Source organism: Homo sapiens, chromosome 7 (genome assembly GCF_000001405.40).
Source record: "Homo sapiens chromosome 7, GRCh38.p14 Primary Assembly".
Lineage (NCBI taxonomy): Eukaryota > Metazoa > Chordata > Mammalia > Primates > Hominidae > Homo > Homo sapiens.
Window position 1 is genome coordinate 28,062,659 of NC_000007.14, and position 10,965 is coordinate 28,073,623.

General features: G+C 40.4%; 1 protein-coding gene across 3 annotated transcripts in view; it reads right to left on the bottom strand.

Annotated features, from left to right (window-relative positions):
* Positions 1–10,965, bottom strand: part of JAZF1 (JAZF zinc finger 1) — a 350,219-nt gene that overhangs the window by 232,082 nt on the left and 107,172 nt on the right. The window lies entirely within an intron of this gene.

A 10,965-nucleotide genomic window follows, 5' to 3' on the forward strand; every position in this document is an offset into this window, starting at 1 on the left:
CATCCTCTCCAAAGCAGTCTGAACCCAGCCTTGGGGAGTGGCTTCCGAGTGTGTCCTTCCTTGCGTATTTTTCTTCAGCCTTAGGGCACTTATTGAGTTTTCTTTACATCTTTATAGTTACTCTCCTATCTTAGTTTAGTAATTCCTTACACTAAACTTCCTGTTTAAATTCCTTTGTGGTTTTTGTCTCCTCGTTTGACCCAGACTGACACTGTTTAATTCTCATTTCTGAATTCATATAGTCATCTACTCTTTCCTCATCATACACCACTTACTCTATCCATTAAAAATATGCCATCTTTTCATGTATATGTCAGCTGAAATGTTGGCCAACTACATGTTTTGAAAAACTTTGAATGATGCAAGAAAACATCTAAGCTTATTTTATTCTTTGCTTATATCATATGAAAAAATTCCAAGCTCAGCACCTTGCCTACCCAAGGATTTAAAGTCAAATTAATTATTTCTTCCTCTTTTCACACTCTGTTCTTTCTCTCTTCCACAGAAAAGGGCTGGACTTTTGTTTATAATTTAAAAATAACAAATAATTTCACAATGCCTTATTCTAAAACATTTTAACAAGAATTTGCAGATCCTAATTACTTCCAGAATAACATTTGAAACTAAGGTATTAAAAAGTGCGTTTAAAAATATAGATCATTTATTCATCTTTCCTTTAGTACCCAGTATTGGACAGACTGTAGACTAGGTACTGTGATATAAAAAGATGAATGAGGCATCCTCACTTCTGCGAACTGCAATAGAACCAGAATATAGGTGAAAAAAGAGAAGGAAAGGCAGGGAGACTTCATAGCAAAATATAACAAAAAATTTCCTCCAAAAAAATCACTCTTGTAATAATGACCAACATTATTAAACACTTCTTAAGTGTATAACCCATATAATTCAGTGGAAAAAAGAATCAAATATCTTTAAGAATAGTTTCATATCACATCTATTTGAACGTGGGCTCTTAATTGTAAAAGCTAAATTAAATCAAAATCTAAAACAAAACTACACTAAAATAGAACAGAAAGAAAAGAATGATATGTATTATTTGTAGTATATTCCCGTGTTTCTTGGTAATAGAAACAAGCAAATATCTGGGATTACAAAAATTTTTAGGACATCTAATTCACCAGCATGCAAATAACTTGACATTTTACAACTATATTTATAGTACCATTTGAGGTTGCCTGAATAAATAGTTTCCAATCTATATGCATCTCTTTGACATGTGAGAGAGGGCTCAAGAAATGCCACAGTGTGAAAGTTACCAAAATGGAATTTTAAATGTAATGAGTTGCATATCATATTGAAGCAGAGTTTCAACATGACTGCAATAAATGCTCCATTTTTTCTCTTCCCAAAATATTCTAAAAGGTCACACCAGTCTAACAGTGATAGGTAACTGCCAAGAGTTAAAAAAAATTGGACATCCTGTAAATTATAATTTAAAAAATATATATATATGTCTGAGGTAGGCAAAATCAAGGAAACCAAAGATATGGAATTAACACCCCTCAATGACCGGAACATCTGGCTATATATTTACTTATTTTTGTCTTTTAATTTTAATTTCCCCCCAAAATAGAAACATATTTCAAACCTCATCATTTTCTACTTTAACCAGCCAGCAGGAAACCAACATAAAATTTAAAAGAAGGAAACTATGTAAAAATCGTATATAAGCAAATGCTTTTTCAATTTTTATTCCAACATGAGAGCAGAAAGCAAGATTTCTGGAAACTGATTATTAAATAGAAAAGAACAAAAAGAAATGTGGTCCTATTTATCACCCATTCAACAAAGAACTAGTTTTTAAATTGAAAAACTAAGCAATGCATTCTGAAATGTAGCTACAAAAAAATTCTATAAATGTTTAAACTAATATCAATATAATGACAGTTGAGGAAGCAAACTTTCAACAACACTCAAGTAGTCAAACAGAACTTCCTCATACTTCATGTTTGCCAAACAAAATATCAGGAATGTGGGATAAAGCATAAAGAGATCTTATTATCATCTAACTCAGTCTTCTTTCACAGATTAGGAACTTGAGAACCAAAGAAGTTTTTTTGTTTTTTGTTTTCCTCTAAAAACTGCTCTGCTAATGACCTTACTGGCAGGTGGAATAAACAGGGTACAATTTCAGAGGCACTAGATCACTTAGCCTTTAACATTTCTTGACCAGCTTAACAGGATATCTTAAATTCTACCATTAGAGATTCATTCTATAGGGTTATTCATTATATAACTTTAGATCTAAGAATCTAAACTTTAGATCTGAGAATCTAAGTGTGAAGGGCATTTGTAGATCCTGAGTCCAAACTCACTCAAGCAGCATATCCAAATCACATTTAGGTTAAGTGCTTTTAGGGAAATGACTGGATCTTCTTTAACTCCATAGTCCCAGATCCTGGCAGACAATAACCTACATATTAATTGTGGTGTTGGTGAAAATGACCAAAGAATCAGTCAGCTGACTTTCTCCCTAAGCGCTGATAAGGAATCTTTTGGGAGTAAGATTTGGGGGTGGTAGGTTTTAAATAGGAGAGGACAGAAGGGAGCCAGACTTGGGTCCAGGAGACATAGTCTGGGGTTCTTGACAAATGTAAGCAGAGTGAAAACCTGGGTAGAGTAGAGGAGTGGGTGAGAGAAGCGGGGAGGCGCCTCAAGAGAACAATCAGACAGCGAGGTGAGGGAATGGAAGAAACACAGTGAAAACCTGGGTAGAGTAGAGGAGTGGGTGAGAGAAGCGGGGAGGCGCCTCAGGAGAACAATCAGACAGTGAGGTGAGGGAATGGAAGAAACACACTTTGTTTATTGCACAATGTTTCACAGACCTTCTCCTGCCAACAAGCAGACCATAAATGTCACGATCCTATCCCAACATGTGTTGTTAAGTCAGCACAGGATGGCCTACAAATTTTGCAACTATTTCGAAAAATTACCAAAAATGTTTTACATCCTGCCTAGCATCTTGTTATCTAGGTAGTAAAATACCAAGGGTTAATGTGATAGCTAAAGAAAAAGAAAATCACCCAACCACCTCATGCCTTTTCTTTTTCTTTCCTAGGAAATTGCCAGTTATATGAGTCCTATATTTGTCCTTCTTTTTAAATGGGAAAAGGCAGAGAAAATAAAACTACAACACGTTTTATTTGTGTGTTAGCGATTACAGCCCGGGGCTATTTTTCCTTTCCCAAACAGTGCGCATTTTAGACCTGACACCAAGCAGGGGGTGGGATGTTGAGCTCCATGAAGGAAATTTTTACTTGTGACCAAAATACTGGACCAGATGGATCGCAAAACTTGCCAAGAGCACAGTTAAATGTTCACGAGAGGACTACTAATGTAAGCAAGGAACTCACTAGTGCTATCTCTGTTTTTTGTTTTCATTCCACCTAGAACCAAGAATTTAGGAATGCTAAGGAAATCACCCCCAGGCAGATTTAGTCTTTGCTAAGCTCATTACAGAAGTGTTAACACACACCTTAGATGCACTGAATTCTAACAATTACAGAAACAAATCTCTAAGGCTACGGAACTTCACCAGAGGTATTTCTAAGAACTGCTGGATGCTTTGTTAAAAGAACACTGGAAAGGCTCCGGTACAGGCCAGGTCAGGGCTGGAAGTGGCAAAGAAAGCATCAACAACAAGGCTGGGCGCAGTGGCTCACACCTGTAATCCCAGCACTTTGGGAGGCTGAGGCAGGGGGATCACAAGGTCAGGTGTTCGAGACCAGCCTGGCCAGCATGGTAAAACCCCATCTCTACTAAAAATACAAAAAATTAGCCAGGTATGGTGGCGCATGCCTGTTATCCCAGCTACTTGGGAGGCTGAGGCAGGAGAATTGCTTGAATCCAGGAGGCAGAGGTTGCAGTGAGCCGAGATCGCACCACTGCACTCCAGCCTGGGCGACAGAGCGAGACTCCATCTCAAAAAAAAAAAAAAAAAAAAAAAAAGAGAAAGCATTAACAACAAAAGGTGGGAACCATCAAACCAGATGATGATCCTCAACCAGAGTACTGCAAGGTCCCTGCTTGGAAAAGAAGTGTCTGTGCTTGCCTCAAGCTCACGGTTACCACCTAATGGCACCTTCCAGAGGGTGGCTGCTGCTGTTGATTTGATTGTTACTGCTGTTTTAAAACTCTAATTGGAAAATCAGTTTGTAATTCCATTTTATGACTCCTGAAAAGATGAATGGTCTTTTTAAGAAAAGCTATCCAAAAAAACCCTACAAATGCATCCAAAGACAGCTTCTGCTCATCCAGAGCCAAGAAGAACTAGCAGGTACCTCCAGCATCTTGGCACAGGGCTGGTCCCCATTCCAGATTAAGCTTCCACAAGTTAACTCCTTTGTACCTGCCTACCCTTGAAAATGAGAATCTTTGACAAGCTGCTGCCATCCCTCCATGGCTGTGAGACCACCTGGACAAAAACTCTAGGAGAAAATGCTGGAGTCTGTGTCCACTCCAGATAACTAAGTGAAACTTTGTCATTTACTAGGTCCACAGCACATGGAGATAGGAAAGGCTGGGTCTGAAAAACCTGAATTAAGGTAACTATTATCCTCAGTGAACATGTTTCCTTGCTCCATCAGTGTTGTGAGGGGGTAAGATCCCAGAGATGACTCAGACATCAACAGGGATGAGTTCTGTTGTTCTGGTTGTTAAACCAGTGGAATCTTTATCTCTCCATTGACAAATGCTGTTGTGCCCATATCCCCAAAGGAATCCCTTGCTGCTCCTGCCCTCTCCTTGGGGCTATAATCCAGCAACTAAAGAGGTGACCACACAGCACAGCCAAAGCCCTGTGAGAATCAATGCCAAGGCTTCAGCCAGAGCCTCATCAGTGCTGCCCAGGCTACACCAGGCTTTAGGTAATCTGACTTCTGCTGGAAAGCTCTGGAGAACCAATGATGGAGCAAGTGTTGGGCAAACTTTCTCTTGTTTTCTGCCCAGTCTAATAAAATGAAAAAATGACGAAGAAGGTAGATTTGGGCCACTTGGAAAAACATATTTGAACCAAGTAGGGCAATTTCGTTTGAATTTGTTAAATCTCAGTGTCAAAATAGGTTGGAAGGGGACTTCGGCAGGTGCTCAAACCAATCTTCAAACTGTACAGATGGGATAAATGACTTTTGCTCACTTGCTAATCAGTGCCGAGGCGAGGAACAGAACCTAGACTTCAGCCTCAGTCTCTCAGCCTAGTGTCCTTTCCCGTCTCCTTCTGCTTCTAAGTAGTTTTTTTCGTTTGTTTGTTTTTGAGACAGAGTTTCGCTCTTGTTGCCCAAGCTGGAGTGCAATGGTGCGATCTCAGCTCACTGAAACCTCCACCTCCCGGGTTCAAGTGATTTTCCTGCCTCGGCCTCCGGAGTAGCTGGGATTACAGGTGCACACCAACACGCCCAGCTAATTTTTTGTATATTTAGTAAAAACAGGGTTTCACCATGTTAGCCAGGCTGGTCTCGAACTCCTGACATCAGATGATCTGCCCACCTCGGCCTCCCAAAGTGCTGGGATTACAGGTGTAAGCCACCGTGCTCAGCCTAGTTTTTTTTTTTTTTTTTTTCATAAAGACAATTTGTAGTACTTTCAAGTGTGCCAAAAACTGGGCTAGGAGGTAAACAATATAAGATGATTATTATCTCTAAAATACAAAAAGGATATGTAATGGGCATGCAATTGGTCAGTAAATACCTAGAAGCTTCTCATGCATGCATAATAAATTGCTTCCCTTAAGTTAAACAATCCTCTTGTCGTATCAATTATACCATTCACCTAATTAACAGAATCTTTCCTAAACTGTGCAAAGGCAAACTTCCCTGAAGACCTTGCAAATGATCCCAGTGCCCAATTGCTGGAATGGCACTAATAAGATTTGACTCTACTGACAAATTAAAATTTTAATCAGGGCCACATGAAAATCTCAAGAGCAGGAAAAGTAAAGCAAATTGAGAGGTTTACATTATAGGTTTTGAGATACTTTTCCATACAAGCAACATAGAACAGAGAAATTAACAGGCCAAGGAAATGTTATTTTTTAAAAAAGGAGGAGGACAAAGGAAAAAAAAGACACGAGTCACTGGTAAACAATGTTGACACTGTTGGCCACTTTGTTTTAAAATCATATAAAATCTTTGGGGTATTAACAATTGCCCATACTTTCCCCTGGAATTGCAGAAAAGCTGGCTCTGCAGCAAAGGGAGATGGTTTAGGCCACTGACTGAAAGACTCATCCCTGTGTATGGTTTCAAAATGCTGCCTGGTATCATAGCAACCATACATGACTGAATGTTGTACAAAATGTGATCAAGGCCTCCCCTGGGAAAATCTCATGTAATTTACTCCATTTCTAAGATGTTCCCTGGGCTCTGGAAATCAGGTCCTCAGTTCAAGGATCTTCAGCACAGGAGGAACTTACACATCATCCAATCTGCCTACTGACAAGGCAGAGAGGGGATGGAAGAGCCCAGTAACTTAACCAGCACCACAGCTGGTGGCAGAGCAGAGAGCAGAGCCAGCTATCTGGACTCCCAGCTCAGCGCTGCTTCCTCTTGATCTCACGGCCTCATCTCTCCAATTTAGTGAGAACTGACCTTCCTCACCAATCAGCTGTTTTCACAATGAGACTCATGCATCATAGCTGTATTATATTTTAACCTGGAGATCAAGTATGGTACATCAATTGGATGTCTGTACCCTGGGGATTTTGCCTTGTTCTAAGGTGACATGACAAATGGCAGATTCTGCACCTTTCACTTCACTAAAGATAGTCTTAAGGACAACTGCCTCAACTTCCTTCAGCCTTTAGCTCCCTGCCTGCTCCCTAGCATTAAGAAACAAAGGAAAAGTCAGCTGATTTGTTCCATGAGCCTGAGCCATGCACCTGTAATGAGAGGTACCGAGGGAGAGGCCCAGGTTTCCTGGGTCTGTACCAGGTTCAAAGGGCAGAAGAGCTGCTCTCCATGCCCAACTTGGAACATACATAATGACCTAAGGGGGGAGAAAACTAATCTCCAACCCTCTGGTTCACAGGCAATCATGTGCAGAGGCCTTTAGCTTTAGAGTTTGGGGCGCTTTTTTCTCCTGGAGGTGCCAGGTACGGCTCCATGCTAGGTCTGCAGCATTCACCATGCTGAGCGTTGAGCCGTGTTCTCAAAAACTCATGCCCCCAAGTTTGAACAAACTCATACTTGTCCCCTAAGAAGTCCCTGTCATCCCGGTCTGTCGGCCATGAGCTCGTTACTCCCCTGACCTTGAGGCCCACAGACTGGGATGAAGCCAGGACCTGGCTCCTCACTCAAGTCCTCCCGCGCCTTCTCTGGATGCCTTTCTCTCCCTGCTCACGGCACACTGCACTTTGTAAAACGTCTTCAGATGTGGAGAGCTGAGTCCTGGCAGTCATCCCAGGAAAGGGGAGCTTTTTTGTTGCTCTGCCCTTGATTGGTCCTCACTCTCAAACAGCTGTGAACCTTTTTCTTCGTTTATTTTCAAGCAATTAAAACTACAGCTTGATAGCATTACTGTAATCTCTCCCATTGTGTTTAGAGAAATTTTTCTTTCTTCAAGACTTCATGTATCTATCCAAAAGAGAGAGAACAGTCTAGAGGCACTGCATACCTCACGAAAGTGATCTGATTGGTTCTCATCCCTGAAAAAGCCAAATACTTGGAAATAAGAAGTTGAAAACATACATGTGGCCACATTTTCCTCTCCTTTGCTTCCACGTCCACATAGAAAAGAAGAAAAGCTTCTAGATATTTGCAAAGGTTTTGTGAAATATGAGCTTTGGCTAAGCACATGTTTTTAAAACTATTTGGACCCTCCAAACAGAACAGATGTTTCTGCAAAATTTTCCACCATCCAGTCACAGCAATCCCGGCACGATCCTGCCCCATGTCCGGCTCCGGGCAGGCTGTCAGTGGCAGCTGGTCTGAAGAAAGTTTTACAAATCATCTAGCTCTTCTTAGACTTTAGAACAAGCTCCCTCCAAGCCCTGCAATGTTTCAAGGTAGAGGAGGTAGCAGGAAGATGGGCATTTGAACAGCACAGAGGGCCAGAGGTAGAGTGTGAAGGCAACAGAAAGGTACATATTCTCTTCATGACATTCATCAACAAAGCCTAACATTTCACAAGTACTCGGGCTTATTTCTTACTAAGTCCTGAAGCATTAAGGTCATCCAAAATCCCCTATTAAAGCGTGAGCTCCTCGAGGGCACAGACTGTGGTTTTATTCATCTTTCTATCCCCAGCACTTGCATACTGCACACACAGAGCAGACATTCAATAAATTTGATTGACTGAAATGAAAACTGTGAATACCTTCATGGGAACAGGGCCATGACCAGCAGGCATCTTACCTAGAACTGGTTACCGGGTGAAGGTAAGATAAACAGAGTATTCCTACATGGGGAAGGCAGCTGCCTAAAACGGAATCGGCTCTGGAGAGCCAGAATCCCTGTGTGTAGCGAAATACTACAGGTCAGCAAGCAATGCGGTGTGATACAAAGATCCAACTAGGTGTAGCCGGAAGCCAGTGCACAGGGAGGTTTGACACCAAAAGAGACTGTTCTAAGTCACAGGCAAGACCTGCGTTCATAACGTTATGAAAAGAGCTCATCACAGCATACTCTTCCACTTTTATGCACCAGGACAAAGACCTAATAACCTCAGCAGATACACCTCTGTCAACTCCAACACCAGCAGGCGTCTACAGTTTAGTGGCTAAATGCAAATTCTGAAAACCCTGCCTCAACTGCCCTGAAAAATCTTTAGTCCTCCTTTCAAACTTTTATAATTCAACTCTCATTTCTTTCCTTCCTCATAGAACCATTTGGAAAGATTTTGGTTTTTCAATAAATATATTAATACACAAAAGTTAGTATGTCCCATAAAAGTATTTTTAACCAGCTCCTAATCTGCCAAGATTTCAGTGAAACCTTTCACTTACCATTTGCCACCCACATACAGACCCAAGGACGGACCTTCTATCCAGTGACGGCACTTACAGCTGATTAAAGGGTTTGGAGGTGATGACAAAAATATGCTTGGTTTACAAAGACAGGCAACATGGAAGGACACATCTGTGATCAGAAAAAGTGCAAATTTGCAGAGGAGGAAGCTGCTTTCGATTTGCATTATTACTGCTCGGGTTCAGGAGAGATCCTGCTGTTTCAAGCGATTCCATGTTTAACAAGTTCTCGGCATTTCTTATTCCAAAAATATGTAATGGAACTACTAACAATACAAAAGAGCTCATTTTAACTTTTGTTTTCTTGTCAGAAGGCAGAAAATGTTAAAGAAGAAATTCATGATGTTGTAAGTTTAACATCGTAGTATGAAGTCTGGGAGACGTGTCTGAATCAAACACGTCTTCTGTTCTAAAATCCATCAAAATGAAGAACTTCTGAGAAGACGAATAAAGGAAACACTGTATATATTGCTTGCATAAATTGGATCTCATTAAAAATATGGTGGCTGGGCTTCACACACAGTTTGCACCTTAACCTTGCATCTGTTATAATTGCCCCAAGCATTATTCCAGCTCTTTCATTTCAGTGAGAAAGTGTGATGATTTTGTCAACCAGGGTGTAAAACTGACTTGAAACAAACTTCTATAATCAACTTCCCACAACCCACTGAACTGTGCGAAATGGCAGCATGTAATAAATAATTAATGCAATTAACAAAACGGCATAAGCCTACTATAGAATATAATCTGTTCAGGCTGAAGAATAAAGTTCACTTCAAATAATTGTTACCATATTTACTTATGGATATGGCTATATGCAACTCTATGCTTAAATAGCATATAACAATTCCCAAAGTCAGGTCTTGTAATGTAAATTGGCATTGCTTCACTTTTGAGATAAGTATCTCCAGACATACAAATTCTTGGATAAAACTTAAAAAGACTAGAAGTAATTATAAAAATTAGAAAAGATAAACTAAAGAAAAAACAGAAACCATCCATAATTCAGCTCCCTTCCACCACCACCCCACCCAAACATGTATAATTAACGTTTTAGAAGGAAAGATATAAACACTTAACAGTTGTTTCAAAAGTTGGGATGGGGTTGGAGGATCAGGGAAGGATGAGTTTACCTTTCTTTGTATCATTTAAATTTTTCAAGTCATGTGCATGTATTTTTAATTTTTAGAAAATAGTTTATATAAACTTGCATACACCTTTCAGATTTTCCTCTGGATACATATTTTTTAAAAACCAAAATGGTGATGACATTATGTGAATAACCAAAAAAAATTATGTATTTAAGAAAAGTACAAAGACAACCTCTCTCACCTTGTTCCCCTCCTCCCAAAGCTCAGAAAAGGAAACTCCAGCCTTGCCTCAGTATGAAAATACATGACTTTTTAAAATAGCACTATCGGTAGGTGTTAGCAGTGGGCAATGTGTGACCCACAATCTTCCTTTCCCACAAAACACAACACTATCGTCTTCTAAATTTCCTTCATCCGAGTTGGAGATGACCCTCTCCAATCCCCTATGTTTTAAAATAAGCAACTAATATCTAGATAGGTTACAGGGTACTTGAGTTAGCAGAGCTCGTTGTGCCGGAGCGTGGCTGGAGACCTGGTCTCTGGGCTTCCCATGAAGCCCACACACCCATCCATGCTGTTGTTTGTAGGGCTCTTTTATACTGAGAGGGAAGGTCAGTCCTCAGATTTGCCCTGGAGTGTGATCACTTCAGGCTGCCTCCCCTCCCTTTCTCTCAGGCAAGGGCGCACCCAAGGACTGAAAATCAAAGCCAGGACCACATGACTCCCATCCTGACTCTCTGGACCCGAATCTTTGCATTTTGCTTTATTTTCACTTTAAATCAAAGTAGTTTGTTAGGCTGTCTCTTAATAATTTGGCCTAAAGTATTCTCCCGGGAGACAATTTCACAAGGTACACTTAGAACCACTGAGGCACAGTCTCTTTGGAAGAATAAG